This window comes from Homo sapiens, chromosome 1, assembly GCF_000001405.40.
Source record: "Homo sapiens chromosome 1, GRCh38.p14 Primary Assembly".
Classification (NCBI taxonomy): Eukaryota; Metazoa; Chordata; class Mammalia; order Primates; family Hominidae; genus Homo; species Homo sapiens.
Window position 1 is genome coordinate 47088987 of NC_000001.11, and position 18755 is coordinate 47107741.

General features: G+C 39.6%; 1 protein-coding gene and 1 long non-coding RNA gene across 4 annotated transcripts in view, besides 1 other annotated feature; one reads left to right on the forward strand and one right to left on the reverse strand.

Moving 5' to 3' along the window:
• Positions 1-18755, forward strand: part of CYP4Z1 (cytochrome P450 family 4 subfamily Z member 1) — a 62794-nt gene that overhangs the window by 33462 nt on the left and 10577 nt on the right. For both annotated transcript variants that reach the window (XM_024453856.2, NM_178134.3), the window contains 3 exons: positions 5580-5683; positions 10108-10298; positions 17142-17275. In XM_024453856.2, coding sequence (XP_024309624.1) covers positions 5580-5683; positions 10108-10298; positions 17142-17275 — 429 coding nt within the window. The remainder of the gene's footprint in view (positions 1-5579; positions 5684-10107; positions 10299-17141; positions 17276-18755) is intronic.
• Positions 6554-18755, reverse strand: part of CYP4A22-AS1 (CYP4A22 antisense RNA 1) — an 84084-nt gene continuing 71882 nt past the window's right edge. For both annotated transcript variants that reach the window (NR_189276.1, NR_199717.1), the window contains exon 6: positions 6554-9434. This is a non-coding gene — a long non-coding RNA (CYP4A22 antisense RNA 1). The remainder of the gene's footprint in view (positions 9435-18755) is intronic.
• Positions 15128-15848: an enhancer, noted in NCBI's record as "H3K4me1 hESC enhancer chr1:47569786-47570506 (GRCh37/hg19 assembly coordinates)". NCBI's record gives its function as "activates a minimal SCP1, AML or CMV promoter by ChIP-STARR-seq in primed H9 embryonic stem cells {active_cell/tissue: H9 hESC(primed)}" and the evidence as "EXISTENCE:reporter gene assay evidence [ECO:0000049][PMID:30033119]".

The following is an 18755-nucleotide window of genomic DNA, read 5'->3' on the forward strand; positions in this document are numbered from 1 at the left end:
TTTGGTTAGAGCATTTAAACCACTTATATTTAATGTAATCACTAGAATATTTGGATTTCAACATGCCGTGTAACTATTTGTTTTCTATTTAACCGATTTTTATCCCTTCTTTTATTAATTGCTGGATCATTTTATATTATTATTTTTTCTGTTTTAGATCATAAGTTTAGTTTTCATGGGTATGCTAGAAATTACAACATGTAGTCTTTATTTATTAGAATCTAACATATGTAATTACATTAAATACTTCCCTGAAAATGCAAGGATCTTACACCATTTGAACCTCTATTTACTACTTCTCATATTTTTAAATATTGTTGTGATGGGTTTTTTTAATAATTTTTTTTTAAGTTCCGAGGTATATGTGCAGGATGTGCAGGATACGGATAATAATTAGGCAAAATATTACAGCAATTAGAATTTTACAACCAGAATTCCACATTGTGGAAGTTATTCTCTAATGACAAGTCAAGGGGGAAATGTATGCTTTTCTTAAGAAAAATGTTACTTTTATGTTAATGTTTCTGGTAATGCACAGCGACACCTAATGGACGCAAACCAATATTGCAATCCATTGGTGTAACAGGTATCAAACTCTGTTATGGCCTATAGTTATCCCCATTAACAGTGATACTCTTAATACTCATATTCTAACCCTATATTTTAAACCTTCTTGTAAAATTTATCTCTTTTCACCTAGAAGCAATCAAACTCCAAACAGTGCTGCAGGCAGAACCACACATGAACAAGCTATTTTTTTGAGAACCCTTAGATCAACCTCAGGAGGAGGCCCAACTGCCTTTCTCCCACACAACGCCCCTTTTCAGCAGGCAGTAGCAAGAAAGAATTGTCGTCCAATGCCCCTTCACAGCAGTTAGGTTTGCTTAGAGAATAAGTTCAGGCTTAGGCCATTTTTATAACTTGCAATATGATTGGGAGAAATATGATATTGGATGCTAAAACAACTTTAGTGTTAATCTCACAATTCCTTTCCTTTAATTATTAATTTTTTCTGACTTTCATAGACCCTCTTACAACATACTTAAAATTTCTGACATGTCCTAAACATTCTTCCTTTAAACAACCAGTCATCTTTTTTAGGACAAGTATTTACCATACAAAATCCTTTCTTTTATAAAATCTTCTTCTTTATAACCTTCTCTTCATAGCTTAAAGTGGATTATATTATGAACCTTCAGTAAAAAGTCCTATTAAACTTAATGATAGTAAAATTTTCATACTTGTTTCTTATCCATAACTATTACTCCTGCCATAAGCAAAACAACCTTGACTAAATCTTTCCTGCAATTATTAATCCTGTTATAAGGATAATAATTAGGCAAGATATTACAGCAATTAGAATTTTATAACCAGAGTTCCACATTGTGGGTGCTACAGTGTATACTTCTTTTGCAAATAGTAGCATGACTATAACAATTCCCACAAGAGTGGCATAGTAAATAATTTCCTTTGAAAAGTTTACATAACATTTCCCTTTGGGGATTTACAAAGTTACAAATGCGATTCTACGAATAATTAAAATCTCCCTGCAAATATGCGTTAAAAAGAGGTTTTAGTATCTGGTGATGATCTTTGAGAGGAAAGGTTAGAAATAGTGAAAAGTATCTGGTGAGGTAGGAGAGGGACTGAGTAAGATAAGTAGCCGTCACTCAGTTACTTATCTTTCATGATTTTCAGCTTAAGATCCTCTGTTTCTTCACATTGATATGGAGACATTCCTCTGAGCTGTCAGGGGTTGCTCCCTCAGCTCTTCAGGCTTTGACTTGAGTGTGATGTATCCAGGAGTTGATTCCTGTAACTTTTACTGCTGAGGGGGTTGAAAGAAGAACAGTGTAGGGCCTTTTCCAGCTTGACTTAGGGAAGGAGAAAGAGCTGAGAGTTTTCACCAATACCAAATTTCCTGGGTTAAATAAAGGTGTTTCTATTTCTTGGGATTGGGTTCTTGTTAGTTGTGTTATCGTCTATTGGAAGTGAGCTAGAGAGTTTACATGCTTAACCAATTTAGAGGTTTCCTGCCTGAAACAATCTCTGAGCACATTGATAAGTTTTTGTCCTTTTCCAAGTGAAAAGCTTGGCAAAGGATTTTAAGGACTTTCCATTGGCTGGAGGCTGGCAAATAGAGTTTGCCATCCTGACTGTAACCATCCTGAGAACTGAAAAGTATGCCCTTGAGAAGTGGCCTATTTTATTTCTGCAGGGGAATACTGGGATTTAATTTCTCTTATGACGCCTTCCTAAATTAGAAGGGGCTTGAAGCATGTTGATGCCCTGAGGCTTCCTTGCCTTTGATTTAGCTGCCTGATCAGCTAACCTATTTTCTTCGGCTATCTTATTTGTTCCCTTTTGATGTCCCCTACAATGCATCCCTCCTATTGCTCATGGAAGAAAAACTGAGGATAATAACCTGCTAATTTTGTGGTGATATTTTATAGGAGGTCCATTGGCGGTTTTCCTTTTAAATGGCAGCATGAGCATGGAGAGCTAAGAGAGCATACTTGGAGTAGGTATAAATGTTAGCTACCTTTCCTTGCTTAATTCAAGTGCTCTTGTAAGAGCTATTAGCTCCGTCAATTAAGTGCTTGTGCCTGGGGAGAGACATTATTTAGAGTGACTACTGCTTATCCTGCCTTATGTACTTCTTGCTTTACTGGCTGTTTGTTAACTAAGAGCTCCCCCTACAGGACAGTGATAATGCCACATCATGTGGAGTGTAAACAGTTAAATTATTTCCTAGGGTTAACCTGGAGGCTTTTTTTTGCTAGTAGAGCTGTTATGACGATGGTTTGGAAACACGTGTAAACAATAAGTTCTAACTGCAACTAAGGTTGAGAAAAATATTGGATCAGAGTTTTTCCTGATATGCCCCTTCCGGTCCTGCTGTGGGAAGAGGGGAGGCCTGGAGTTAAAGGGGAGAAAGGAGACTGGCTCTAATGTTCAGAAGGAGGTCCGCTTTCCTTCCTTTAATTTCCAGAATCACCCAGGGCTCCCGTGCTGTAATAGCAGTTTGAGCCACTGGAGTCGGCATTTGAGTCTCAGGACCCATCAGTCCTGCTGGACCATCTGTGAGAGTGGTCCTGAACCCAGTGACCTCCACCTCTGGGGGCACTTCCATCTCCAGTGATCTGTGCCACAGGCTGGACAGGGTCACGCTGGCTTTGTCTTGCTGCCTGGGCACTCCTTCTTAAAATGCCACACCGATAGAAACTAGCGGATGCAACTTGGGGATCCTGGACTTTGCAAGCCTGCAAAGTTGTTGCTACCGTCTCTCTCCTTCTCCTGAGCTTTTTCTCTTCTTTTGGGCCTCCCCCTGGTCCCTATTATAAAAGACCAAAGTGGCCACATTCAGGAGGTTCTCTAAGGTGCTATCTGGTCCTATAGCTTGCTTCTGTACTTTCCTTCTAATATTGGGGTTCTAGTACAGCCTCTCTCAGCCTTTCTGTAAAGGCTACGGAATTCTTATCTGGCTTCTGGTCTCTTACAGACAGTTTAGAGTAATTGAGAGGGTTGGTCCTGGTTTTCCATAGGCCTTCTAAAATGCATATTAAAAAGTGCTTCCTTTTCCATTTATCTTCTGAGTTATTGGGGTTGCAATTAGGGGTCTTTACCAGAATTGCCTCTCTCCCAATTGGGAATGGTGTTTTTGCTATTTCTTCACTTTCCCTATCTGCTTTCTTCCCTTTTGGTGTATTATAGGAGATATATTGCTCATCTCCAACATTTTCTGTTGCTTGCAGAGCTGCCTGATTTTTAGCTGCTGTGAGGGTCTGGTTTAGGAACAGCATAACATCCCTCCATGGCAGGTGAAATACCTGAGTTAAATTTTGGAAAGCCTCTAAATACCTATCAGGGTCATTAGAAAACTGGCCTAAGTCTCCATTTATTTGCCTAAGGTCCTATAATGAGAAGGGAACTTGAAGGGGCCCCAAATAAGGGGAATCCTCAGATGGTTTCCCTGGAGGTTACTTCTCTAATTTGGGGGAACTATTCTTTTTTGGGCCTGCCTGATATGATTGTTAAAAGAGTTGGGTTGATCTTACGATGTTTGCAAGGGTTTAGTAAAAATGCCATGCACTTGTGCAAAAGAAAATGAGTTGCTTTTCTTTTTGAAGTCCTGAGGTTAAAGAAGTTCCAGTGTTTCAGAGTGCACTCCAGAGGGGTGCAAGCTGAAGATAATCTGTTACCCATCTAGAAAAAGATGTGAGAGTTCTTTTAGTCTCCTTCCTTTCCATATGACCCAGGGTGAAGGACAAGACAGGGGAGCATCCTTCTGGCTGTTTTCTCTCCCTGGTTCTTGGGTCCCAGCACCCTGTTAAATATGCCACCTATGGTCGAAGGCGTGGTCCTCCAAGCTATGGAACCAGATGAACTAAGTGATGCTTTACCCACACAACCTTAGCTTATCCACCTTGTGTCATTCCTCTTTTCACTTCCTAAACCTGTGTAATCTGCCCGGCTCCCCAAAATATGAGAGACTGTGTCATTTTTGGGCAAGCCTCCTTTAATGGAGGCAATGTGCCAAATTGCCTGCTATTATGGCCCATGCTAAAGCATTTACCTTAGAAAAATGGTTCCGGTTAACTTCCAAACTTAGAATCCCCTTACTAAGTACCATTTTAGTAGGAAACAGATTGGATGTCTTAAAAGAACATAGGAACTGAGGGGCTATTTTCATGCTGATGGGACAATATGGAGACTAAAATTTGGCTATGGAAGACATTTTACTCCTAACTGCTAAAGGCAGAACTTTCCTGTTCACAGAAGTAGCTTAGAGCCTAGTTTCCAGTAGAAAAGGCACAAAAAGGAAACGTTGGAAAGCCACAACGTACTGCAGAGAACCAACAATGTGTGTTATGGAGAGAATTTCTGTTTCCACTAGTCATTTATCAGTTCCAGGAGCCTTTTGGCAGAGTCTTCAGGGTTTTCCAGGCATAGAACTTTGTCATCTACAAAGAGAGAAAGTTTGATTTCTTATTTTCCTATTTGGATGCTTTTTATTTCTTTCTCTTGCCTGATTGCTGTGGCTAGCATTCCCAGTACTATGTTAAATAGGAGTGGTGAGAGTAGGCTTCCTTGTCTTGTTCCAGTTCTCAAGGGGAATATTTTCAGTATTCCTCTGCCACTCAATTTGAGCACCAGTCTCTACCATGAGATATGACATCTCATCTTTTTCTTTAAAACCAAAGCCTAGGTTGTACAAATTAAGCTCAGCGATTGGTAACAGTACCCTACATCACAAACAAATTTTACAACCTTTGAATTAAATTTATGTACCAAGCACCTCTAAGCATATATGTCAAACACCTCCAACCTTTACAACAACCCTGTGTGATACATTTAAACATCCTTATTTGAAGGAAGAGAAATTGTGGCTAAAAGGTGGGATGGGACGATTTTTTTAAAAAGACAGCTAGTGGTACTGTCCCTTACCAACTCAGGAACATTGGGTGGGGGGCAGCCAGGGGCTACCGATAAAGCACCAGCTTCTCAGAACTACATTTGGCTTTGATTGACTTTCCAGTAACCTTGATAATAACAAAGATCATAATTTTTCCATCTAGAGAAAGTAATCCAGGACCGGAAGGAGTCTCTTAAGGATAAGCTAAAACAAGATACTACTCAGAAAAGGCGCTGGGATTTTCTGGACATACTTTTGAGTGCCAAAGTAAGTCTTCTAAACTTCTGAACACATTCGACTCAATAATTAAATAATAAAGAAATAGGCCGGGCACAGTGACTAGCACCTGTAATCCAGCATTTTGGGAGGCCAAGGCGGGCAGATCACTTGAGGTCAGGAGTTTGAGACAAGCCTGGCCAACATAGTGAAACCTGGTCTCTACAAAAAACACAAAAATTAGCTGGGCATGGTGGTGCATGCTTGTAGTCCCAGCTACTTGGGAGGCTGAGGTGGGAGAGTCGTTTGAACCCAGGAGGTGGTAGAGCATGACTCTGTCTCAAAAAATAAATAAATAAGTAAAATTAAAATAACAAATAAATAAATTAGAAAAACTTACTTATATGATAACTGATACATATTGAACTTCCCTTGTGAAGATTTTCCTGCTTGTCCTCCCAGGGCTTTCCCTCATGCCTCCAGTGTCACATTTTAATTATCTGGGCACTTGTCTGTCTTTTTCCAAGCCCACAAGCTGCTGAAACCTTCTTCCTCGACATGTGGTCTATAGACCAGCAGCATTGGTAAAACCTGGGAGCTTGTTAGAAATGCAGAATCTTAGGCCCTACCTCAGACCTAGTGGGTTAGAATCTTCATTTCAACATATCCCTCGGTGTTTCATTTGCAATTAAAGTTTGAAAAACCCCATCCTAGAAGACTAGGATCATATTTTATTCCTGTTTCCCTAGTGATTAGCACAGTGCTTGGTGACTGTCTCATGAGGTGTCCACGTGATGTTCATGAGAAAAGTGAAGGACTTGGCAATCAACAGTCACTCAATATATGACAACTATTGTTGCACACCAGGCTAGCAATCCTGTAAGGATAAAATTAGATTATATGTGTAAAGATACTGACATGTGGTGAGAAAAACAATATTTTTATTTTATTTTGTAGTTATTTTATATTTTAATACATATTTATTCATAATTTTTGCTTATGTGCCAAGCATCTTCAACCTTTATTATAACAACCTGTGGGGTATTTATAAATATCTTTATGTAAGGAAGAGAAATTGTGGCTCAAAAAGTGAAGTGAACTGCTCAAGATGACATACCTAAAACTAACAAAGCCAGGATTTAAGACAATTCTGGTTTGGTCCAAATCTCATGCCATTTCCGTTGTACCAAATGGCACCATGTGAACATAATTTTCCATCATCATCTCCAAGTGTTCAATAAATATTTGCTGAATTTAATTGTGCTGAATTATTTGAGGGAACAAAAATAAACAAATACTCTGTGAGGGACCAAAAATAAATAGATACTCTGTGAGGGACCAAAATAAATAAATACTCTGTGAACTCAACTTTCATTGTGTTGGCTACCTTGATCATGTGAAACACGACTCTTCCTAAACCAGGACTACTAAGAACAGGGCACTGCAAAATGAGGTGGATTTGGAAGTGAAATAGAATTCCCAGGAACTAATGACTTGTTAAAAAAAAATTTAATTTTCTGCTGAGCATGGTGGCTCATACCTGTAATCCAGCGACTCAGAAGACAGAGGCAGGAGGATCACTTAAGGCCAGGAGTCTGAGACAAGCCTGGGCAACATAGCAAGACCCCAACTCTATAAAAAATTTAAAAATTATCCAGGTGTGGCAGCACTGCCTGTAGCCCTAGCTACTCTGGAGACTGAGGTGGGAGGATCACTTGAACAGGAATTCAAAGCTAATCATGCCACTGCACTCCAGACTGTGTGACAGAGCAAGATATCGACTCTAAAAATAATAGTAAAAAATAAAATAACATTTGCTGATTAGAAAAATAGTACACACTGTTTTTATTTTGAGTTAATACCTTTTTTCTTTTTGATTTCCAACTCTTAAGTTCAGGGGTACATGTGGAGGATGTGCAGGTTTGTTACATAGGTAAACATGTGCCATAGTGGTTTGCTGCACAGATCATCCCATCATCTAGATATTATGCCCAGCATTCATTTGCTCTTCTTTTTTTTTTTTTTTTTTTAATGGAGCCTCACTCTGTCGCCCAGGCTGGAGTGCAGTGGCGCGATCTTGGCTCACTGCAAACTCCACCTCCCAGGTTCAAACGATTCTCCTGCCTCAGCCTCCCAAGTTGCAGGGACTACGGGCATTGCCACCATGCCTGGCTAATATTTTTGTATTTTTAATAGAGACGGGGTTTCACCATATTGGCCAGGCTGGTCTCAAACTCCTGACCTCAAATGATCTGCCCGCCTCAGCCTCCCAAAATGCTAGGATTACAGGCGTGAGCCACTGTGCCTGGCCTCATTAGCTATTCTTGATGCTCTCCCTCCTCCCAGCCCCCACCCTCCAACAGGCCCCAGGTGTATTGTTCCCGCACCACGTGTCCATGTGTTCTCATCATTCAGCTCCCACTTATAAGTGAGAACATGTGGTATTTGGTTTTCTGTTCCTGTGTTAGTTTTCTGAGGATAATGGCTTCTAGCTCCATCCATGTCCCTGCAAACGACATGATCTCATTCCTTTTTATGTCTGCATAGTATTCCATGGTGTATATGTACCACATTTTCTTTATCCCATCTATTATTGACGGGCATTTAAGTTGATTCCATGTCTTTGCTATTGTGAATAGTGCTGCAGTGAACATACATGTGCATGTATCTTTATAATAGAATGATTTGTATTCCTTTGGGTATATACCCAGTAATGGCATCGTTGGGTCAAATGCTATTGCTTTTGACATCTTTGTCATGAAGTCTTTGCCCATGCCTATGTCCTGAATGGTATTGCCTAGATTTTTGTCTGGGGTTTTTATAGTTTTGGGTTTTACATTTAAGTCTTTAATCCATCTTGAGGTGATTTTTGCACATAATGTAAAGAAGTTTCCATTTTTTCCATATGACTAGCCAGTTCTCCCAGCATGGTTTATTAAATAGGGAATCCTTTTTCCATTGCTTGTTATTGTTGACTTGGCTGAAGATCAGATGATTGTAGGTGTGCAGTTTTATTTCTGGGTTCCCTATTCTGTTCCATTGGTCTCTGTGTCTGTTCTTGTACCAGTACCATGCTTTTTTAGTTACTGTAGTCTTGTGGTATAATTTGGAGAGGCCTCCAGCTTTGGTTTGTTTGTTTGTTTGTTTGTTTGTTTTCTTAGGATTGTCTTGGCTATTCAGGCTCTTTTTCAGTTCCATATGATTTTTTTTTTTTTTTTTGAGACTGACTCTCTGTCACCCAGGCTGGAGTGCAGTGGTGTGCTCCTGGCTCACTGCAACCTCCACCTCCCAGGTTCAAGTGATTCTCATGTCTCAGTCTCCCGAGTAGCTGGGATTACAGATGCCAACCATCATGCCCAGCTAATTTTTGTATTTTCAGTGGAGATGGGGGTTTCACCATGTTGGCCAGGCTGGTCTTGAACCCCTGAACTCAAGTGATCCTCCCAACTCGGCCTTCCAAAGTGCTGGGATTACAAGCGTGAGCCGCTGCACCCAGCCCCATATGAATTTTAAAAGTTTTTTCTAATTCTATGAAGAATCTCAATAGTAGTTTAATGGGAACAGCATTGAATCTATAAATCGCTTTGGGCAATATGGCCATTTTCATGATATTGATTCTTCCTATCCATGAGCATGGAATGCTTTCCCACTTGTTTGTGTCATCCCAGATTTCTCTGAGCAGTGGTTTGTAGTTCTTCTCGAAAAGGTCCTTCACTTCCCCTGTTAGATGTATTCCTACATATTTTATTCTTTTGTGGCAGTTGTGAATGGTAGTTCATTCATGATTTGGCTCTTGGATTACCTGTTGTTGGTGGAAAAATAGTACATATTAATTGTTAAACAAAATTAAATAGACACTAAAGAAAACTAAAACTGCCTGCAATCCCATTTGGTAATACTACTATTTTCCTTCAATATTTTGTCTATTCAACTTGTATATTTTAAAATTACTATTAACTCACATATTCATATGTAATACATTTCTAATACTGCTCTTTTCACCTAATAATAAATCATGAGCTTTCCCTTTATCATTAAGAAGTTATTCAAAGACATAATTTTAGTTACTACATAGTGTCCCATTTTATGGATGGTCCATAATTTATTTTACCTTTCCCTATTTTTGGCCACTTGCGGTCTTTCCTTCTTTTGACTATGGTATTAAACATTCTTGTACATAATAAACATTTTCTTAGAGTTTATTCCCTTAAGTAAAATTAATAAATCATAAAATATGAACGTCCATAGGACTCTCAATTTATTCTGCCCAGTTGAATTCTGTTGAGTCATTTCTTTCTACATTGCCTGGTGTTCTGTTAAGGTTTGAAAAAAGTAAAATAGAAAAATATATGCCAAATTAGTTGTATTAATTTTGAATTTTACAACATTAATCTTTTTGTATTATCATTGCTACAATTGAAAAAGATAACAATCCATAGCCAGCTTTGGATAAAGATCATCACTGTATTTTTTAGAGCGAAAACACCAAAGATTTCTCTGAAGCAGATCTCCAGGCTGAAGTGAAAACGTTCATGTTTGCAGGACATGACACCACATCCAGTGCTATCTCCTGGATCCTTTACTGCTTGGCAAAGTACCCTGAGCATCAGCAGAGATGCCGAGATGAAATCAGGGAACTCCTAGGGGATGGGTCTTCTATTACCTGGTAAGACCTGTATTCCTATTTCATCCTGAATTTTCCCCTTATACATTTGATTATTTCTCTCTTCCGGTATCAGTAAGTTATTGTGCATTGAGATAGTCTGTATGCATTTGGAAAGGTAAGGGTGTAGGCTAGAGTCCTACGTTATTTAAAGATTATCACTAGTTTTTATATAGAAAAACACTGTGTCAATCAGACAGTATTCAGTACACCCTATTTTATTACTTTCCTCACTTCAGGCAATAGTACAACTGCGGAAAGAATAGTCTGCCTACCTTTTTTATGTCACGGAAGGCAGGAATATAACAAACCCCTCTTTCTCCAAGATGTAAATGGACTTCTTAGGACTCCAGCTTTTACCACCTTAGATTGCCCAAGTAAGATGTTCAATCACTTGACATGAAAGAGAATTCACACCCCTCTTCCTTATCACCATCTCTGAACCTTAAACACTGCCACCCCACAATGATGATTAACCTTGAGCTGCTGGGTATTTCATGGTGTTAATAAAACCAAACTGATCATGTTTTAAAAACTTTAAAATGGTGAAACATAGAACACATTCAAAAAGTACAGGGAACAGATGTATAGCTTAAAATGTTGTCTAACAAACAGCCATATAGTTGCAACCCTGGTTTAAAAGAAAAATTGCTCATTACCAGCACTGCTAAAAACCTCGTGCCTGCCTTCCCATCACAAACCCCTTCTATTTCTCCAAGATGTAAATGTTTTCCTGACTTTAATAACATTCATTCTTTGTTTTTGTTTATAGTTTGTTGCCTAAGCTTGCAACTTTAAATACTAGAGTCTAGTTTATCTTCTGTTTGAAGTACATATGAATAAAATCATACATTCTTTTGTTTGGCTTCTTTTGCACAGGATTCACTCATTTTTTAGAGGAGCTTCTTTTCGGTCATTTTCATTCCTCTATGGAATTCCGTTATGTATAAATCATGAATCCTATATCCATTCTAGTGTTGATGAACATTTAGGCTATTCTCAGGTTTTGTTTTGGTTTTGCTATTACAATAGCGCCCTCTTGTCTGTGATTTCACTTTCCATGATTTCACTATCCACAGTCAACAGCAGTCCAAAAATATTAAATGAAAAATGCCATAAACAACAATTTATAAGTTTTAAATTGATGCCATTCTGAGTAGCATGATGAAATCTCCTGCCATCTCCCTCTGTCCCATCCAGGATGTGAAGCATTTCTTTGTCCAGCATATCCACACTGTATATGCTACCTGCCAGTTGGTCACGGTTGGTGTTGGTTATCAAATCAGTTGTCATGGTATCACAGTGCTTGTGTTCAAGTAACTCTTATTTTACTTAATAACGGCCTCAAAGCACAAAAAGCATCTATGCTGGTGTAGTGTTATAAACTGTTCTATTTTATTATTAGTTATTGTTATTAATCTCTTACTGTGCCTAATTTATACATTAAACTTTATCATAAGAATTTATGTATATGAAAAAACAGTATATACAAAGTTCAGTACTATCCATGGTTTCAGGCATCCACTGGGGGTTTTGGAACGTATCCCTCACAGATAAGTGGGGACTACTGTATAAATAATGCTTTTAAGAACAACCATCCAGTCCTGGAATTTTCTTTTTTGGAAGACTTTTTGTTAGCGATTCAATCTCACTACTCATACTGGTCTGTTCAGGTTTTCTATTTCTTCCCAGTTCAGTCTGGGTAGGTTGAACGTTTCCAGGAATTTATCCATTTCTTCTAGGTTTTCTAGTTTGTTAGTGTGCAGTTGTTCATAATAGTCTCTAGTGACCTTTTGTACTTCTGTGGTATCAGTTGAATGTCTTCTTTTTCATTTCTGGTTTTATTTGGATCTTCTCTCTTTTTCTCTTCATTAGTCTAACAGTGGTTTATTGATTTTACTTATCTTTCAAAAACCAACTTTCATTTTATTGATCCTTGCATTGTTCTTTTAACCTCTGTTTCATTTAGTTCTGCTCTGATCTTTGTTATTTCTTTCCTTCTACTAATTTGGGGTTTGGCTTGTTCCTGTTTTTCTACTTCCTAGAGGTGCCTCATTAGATTGCTTATTTGAAATCTTTCTAGGTTTTTGCTGTAGGCACTTATTACTATAATTTCCATCTTAGCACTGCTTTTACTGTATGTCATAGGTTTTGGTATGTTGTGTTTCAACTTTCATTTGTTTCAAGAAATTTTTTTATTTCCTCTTTAATTTCTTTCTTGACCCAATTGTTGTTCAGGAGAATGTTGTTGAATTTCCATGTATTTGTACAGTTTCTAGAGTTCCTCTTATTATTGATTTCTAATTTTAGTCCTTTGTGGTCTAAGAAGACAATTCATATGATTTTAATTTTTTAAAAATGTGTTGAGACTTTTGTGTCCTAACATACAGTCTATACTGGAAAATATTCCATGTGCTGATAAGAAAAATATGTATTCTTCACCTATTGGACAAAATATTCTGTAAATGTCTGGGAGGTACATTTAGTCCAACGTGCAATTTAAATCCAATGTTTCTTTATAAATTAATAAATTTATAAAGAAATTTGTCTAGATGACTCGAATAAAGCTGAGAGTAGGGGGCTGACGTCTCCAACGATTATGGTATGAAAGTGTATCTCTTTAGATCTAACAATATTTGCTTTATATATCTGGGTCCTCCAATGTTGGATGCATACATGTTTAGACTGTTATAGCCTCTTGCTAAACTGATCCCTTTATCATTATATAATAACTTTCTATGTCTTTTTTACTACTTTTTACTTTTTCTCTGATATAAACATAGCTCCTCCTACTCATTTTTGGTTTCTGTTTGCATGGACTATCTTTTTCCATTGCTTTACTTTCAGTCTATATGTGTCTTTACAGGTGAGATGAGCTTCTTGTATACAGCATATAGTTGGGTCATGTTTTTCAATCCATTCAGCCAATGTATACCTTTTAAGTGGAAATTTTAATTCCATTACATTCAAGGTTATTACTGATATGTGATGGCATATTCCTGTCATTTTATTAATTGATTTCTGGTTGTTTTGTATATACTTTGTTCTTTTCTTTCTCCCATCATTTAGCATTGTGGTTAGGTTGTATTCTGTAGTGGTACCATTTGAGCTTTTTCTCTGTCTTGTTTGTGTGTTAGTTCTACCAGTGGTTTTTATATCTTCAAGTATTTTCATTATGGCAGTTATCATTCTGTTACTTCTGGGTATAGGACTCCCTTGAGCATTTCTCATAGGTTAAGGCCAGTGGTGATGAATTCCCTCAGCTTCTGCTTGTTTCTCCTTCATTTATGAAAGATAACTTTGCTGGGAATAGTATCCTTGACTAACCATTGTTTTCTTTCAGCACTTCAAATGTATCATCCCATTCTCTCCTGGCCTGAAAGGCTTCTGCTGAGAAATCTACTGTTAGCCTAATGGAGGTTTCTTTATAAGTGACTAGTGACTAGACACTGTTCTCTTGTTGTTTTTAGCATTTTCTCTTCATCTTTGACTTTTGACAGTTTGACTGTAATACGCTGTAGAGAAGACCTTTTGAATTGTATCTATTTGGGGATTTTTAAGCCTCCAGTATGTGGACGTGTAAATCTCTTATTAGACTTATGAAGTTGTTGTCTATTATTTTATTAAATGGGTTTTCTAACCCTTTTGTTTCCTCTTCACCTTCTGGGACACCAAAAATTTGAATATTTGATCATTTGATGGTGTCTTATATGTCACATAGGCTCTGCTCATTCTTTTTTATTCTTTTTTTAAAAAAATTGTATAACTGGGTTATTTCAAAAGACCTGTCATCAAGGTCTGAGATTCTTTCTTCTGCTTGATCTACTCTAATTGTTGAAGCTTTCAAATGTATTTTGTATTTCATTCAATAAATTTTTCAGCTCCAGAATCTCTGTTCAGTTCCTTTTTTTTTTAAGAGAGAGAGTCTCACTCTGTTACCCAGGCTGGAGTGTAGTGGCATGATCATAGCTCACTGCAGCCTCAAACTCCTGGGCTCAAGCAGTCTTCCTGTTTCAGCCTTCCAAGTAGCTGGGATTACAGGCATGTGCCACCATGCCTGGCTAATTTTTTTTTTTAATAGAGATAGGATCTCACAATGTTGTCCAAGCTGGTCTTGAACTCCTGGCCTCAAGCCATCTTACTGCCTCAGCCTCTCAAAGTGCTGAGGTTACAGGTGTGAGCCATCTTTTTCTATGATATCTATCTCTTTGGTGGATTTCTCACTCATATCCTGAATTTCTTGTCTGACTTCTTTTTAGTGTTTTTCTGCATTCTCTTGTATCTCACCTTCTTCTTTTTTTTTTCTTTTTTTTCTTTTTTTTTTTTTTTTTAGACAGAGTTTTGCTCTTGTTGCCCATGCTGGAGTGCAATGGCACGATCTTGGCTCACTGCATTCTCCACCTCCCGGGTTCAAGCAATTCTCCTGCCTCAGACATTTGAGTAGCTGGGATTACAGGCACATGCCACCACAACCAGCTAAGTTTTTTTATTTTTAGTAGAGATAGGGTTTCACCATGTTGGCCAGGCTGGCCTCAAACTCTTGACCTCAGGTTATCCTCCTGCCTCTGCCTCCCAAAGTGCTGGGATTACAGACATGAGGCACCACACCCAGCCTCAATATTTTGCTTCTTTAGTGTCAATATTTTGAATTCTTTTCCCAGGATTTTGTAAATTTCTTTTTGATTGGGATATGTTGCTGGAAAATTATTGTGTTGTTTTGGAGGTGTCATAGTTCCTTGCTTTTCATGTTTCCTGTGTTCTTACATTGGTATTTGTGCATCTTGTGTAACAGTTGCTTTTTCCAATTTTTTGAATTTGCTTTCATAGGGGAGGACTTTTCCTGAAAATGTATGCATAGTGTTCATTGGGTAGGATGCTTTGGCTTTGATTCTGGGCATGTGCAGTAGTGTAATCGCTGTATGATTTCTTCAACTATAAACAGCATCATTTTTGTCTGTGATTTACTCAGTGGCTTAGCATGTGGTTGTTAGTGGAAGCTGTGGTGAAGTTTTGTTGGGGAATGGGATACATGGGCCAGTCTTCGGGTCCCAGCAGTGGCTACAGTAGGCTGAGCATGCCCGTTCTTGGGCACCAAGGTGATGTATACTAGCACCAGTGTTAGCTACTCCAGGCAGACCAACTCTTTCCAGGTGGCTTGCCTGGGTTCTGGAAATGGCAGTGGTGGGTCAGGTAGGTGGGTGAGCTCTTGCGCACCTAGGCATCAGGCATGTCGGACAACCTGCTTGATACTAAGCAGTCCACGCTGGTATTGGTGGTGGCGGTGATGGGCTGAGCAGGCCAGTCCCCAGCCCGCAGTTGACACATGTGGGTGGATACCAGCTGTGGTGGTAGCAGCAGATTGAGTGAGCCCAACCTCAGACCCCAGGAGAAGTGCTCAGGTGCCAATGATAGACTGGGCAGGGCAGTCTCTAGGGCCCTAGACAGCATGCTCAGGTACTGGGAGGAGTGGAGCCAGCCTGAGCAGATCTGCCCTCAGACCCCCTAGTAGTGTATGCAGGTGCTGGCTATGGTAGGCAGGGACAGGGTGATCCCCAGGCTGCTACAAGAATGCTCAGATGAGAATGGCAGCAGCTGAGCTATGGCCCTGCTACTGGAGAGGGAGGGGCTGGGGCTGCTTTTTTTTTTGAGGCGGAGTTTTGCTCTTGTTGCCCAGGCTGGAGTGCAATGGCACGATCTAGGCTCACCACAAGGGAGGCGCTGCTTTCATTTGGAGCAGCCATAAGCAAAAGGCTTTTGTGGGATGAGGGTGACTCATGATTTGCTAGCACCTTGGCCCTTGCAGCTACAGTTACAGGCAGTGGAATTTGTCCTCAGGGTGCATGAAAATGTGTGCCCACCCCTCTGCTGGGGGTGATAGGGTCACTGGCAGTGGCTCCCACCTTGGCACCAGCAGCAGCAGCCACAGCAGCTGTGGTGGGGAATGTCACTGGGGCTTCAGGGATGTGGAGATGTAGAGGCTGTTGAACCCCAAGGCAAGACACAGTCTGATGGAGGCTGAGCTCTCCAGATGATGCCACACTGCAGCTGCTGAGGACTCAGGGGTTTGTGGGACCCAGTGTGAGCTCTCTCTCTGGAGTAATGTCTTCATGCAATCTCCAGCCGGCTCCTTATGTTAGTCTCAGGGCCTGCAAAGGTTAGTGGGCTCTTCCATAGCTAGTATTGTAGGAGTCCGTGGTGGGAACGTGGATCACTGGAGGGCTCTCACTTATTCTTTTCCCAAATTAAAGAGCTTCTCCAGACTCCCAGTTGATCCCCGCCAAACAGGCTGCCTCACTTCCCTCTCCTTCCTTGCTTTTGGTGCTTTCCATCACTTCTCTGTTGAATTCCAGCGTTCTCCCTTAGATGATCTATTTGAAGTGTAATTATCTACTTGCTATGTTGGTTCCTGTCTGTGGAAGAGGCGAGTACCAGATGCCGCTAGTCAGCCATCTTAGAGCCACATCCCTATTTTATATTTTTTTACAATTCTAAAGAGGCAGAAATACTTATTCATTCATAGAAGAGGCACTCTGGATATAAATACAGTCCATGTCTCTACCAAATTTTCACAGATGTGTGATACTGGTCACAGGAGCCCTGGAATAAGTATGTCTCAGGATAAGAGCCCTATATCTGCGGGGGGGGGAGAATCACTTACAGTTACATGTGAAAAGTGGTAAGTGTTAACATTTAGCTTTTCCTAAGACATACTTGATACATCTGAAGTCCTCCTTTGGGTAAAGAACAAAATCATTCTCAGTTACAAAAATGGAGAAAAGCTGGGCTTTCAGTGCAATGCCTAAGTGACTACTCCTCCTTTTCCTTTCCTCCTGTGCTTCTACCCAGGGAACACCTGAGCCAGATGCCTTACACCACGATGTGCATCAAGGAATGCCTCCGCCTCTACGCACCGGTAGTAAACATATCCCGGTTACTCGACAAACCCATCACCTTTCCAGATGGACGCTCCTTACCTGCAGGTCTTAAAACTTTTTTTTTTTTTTTTAACAATGCAGCTGTGCTGGATTGAAATGTCTTAACATACTCATGTCTTTAACAGTTATTTATCCTTAGACTCTGTGGAACCTAGGGCCATTCTTATTTCCCAGAGAGGGAGAAAGAGGATAGAGCTCTCAGGACTATCCAAACAGGCACAGGATTATCAAGGTGCAAAGGTACAGAATCCTGCCATATGGACTGAGGGTTGGGTGAGGGGGCCTTCGTGAAGCATCACGGCTTTAATGCTGAAACTTAAAGGACTAGATTTATATCAGCAAAGATGAGAGAGGCAGTACTGTGGGCAGAGAGAAGAGCAGACACAAAGCAGCAGGCAGCCTGCCTTCTCCCTTCCCTCACGCACACCGGCAGGGCATGTCACTGGAGCAATTGCTGTAATCCACAGACTCCAGGATTCACAGAGGGAAATTGTGGGACTATACCTGGAGCCATGATGTAGCCAGATCATAGAGTTTTCTGAAGGCCAACCTTTGTGTTCAGTCTTTCTCAATCAAGCAGCAGACAGATTTAAGACGTCTAAGCTGGGTGGCATGATTATAGTTATTTTTTAGAAAGATTAATACATTGGTGGAATGCAAGATGGATTGAAAGGCAACATTAGAGACATAAAGGAATGAGCCAGAATTTATCTTTGACCTATGTCGAGATGTGTTTCTACAACTTCCTCCAATTTAACCGTCTTTCAAATATTGGATTTGATTGGGCAATCTAATTAAATGTAGCAATATTTAATTGCTACTGTGCTACCATAGTTGCCCAATAGCAATTAAATATTTGTTTCCTACAAAATCAACTTTACTATTGTAATAACAAAAACAAAAACTATTTAGTACTTACTAGGGACTAAGCATTGTTCCATATGTTTTGCATGTGTTAACTCATTTTATCCACCCATCCTCCTGCCCCCCAGTTCTGCTGTGGAAATACTAGTGTTATGCACATTTTAGACAAACAGGAACAAAAAGGTAAAACTTCATCTCTGGTAAATGGTGGAACTAGGACTTGAACCCAAGTAGTGGGACTCTAGAGTCTGCGCTCGTAACTACTACACTAAAGCAACAACTTAAGCTTTCTCTGGGATCTCTCCAGAGAAAGATCTTTGCTATCATGGGGATCTTTGCAATCATCTAGTATCTAAAGAAGTTTCCTCTTTTTAATTCAGTGTTATTTTTCACATGGTATTTATTGTAATATTTATTACCTACATAATATTGCATCCATACACATAATATTCCGCCCACCTAGTTGCTCCAACAAAACAGCTCAGAGTCAACTTTTACTACCTTTTCCCTTAATCTTGCATTTCAATAATACCTAAATCCTGTCAATAAGCTCTGGTTTTTTTCAACATCAATAAAATGATGATTTATTGCTGCCTTCCAACACAAGAAAATTATTTTCTCTACTTCCATTCTAGATCACCTAAGCCCTGTAATCCACAGA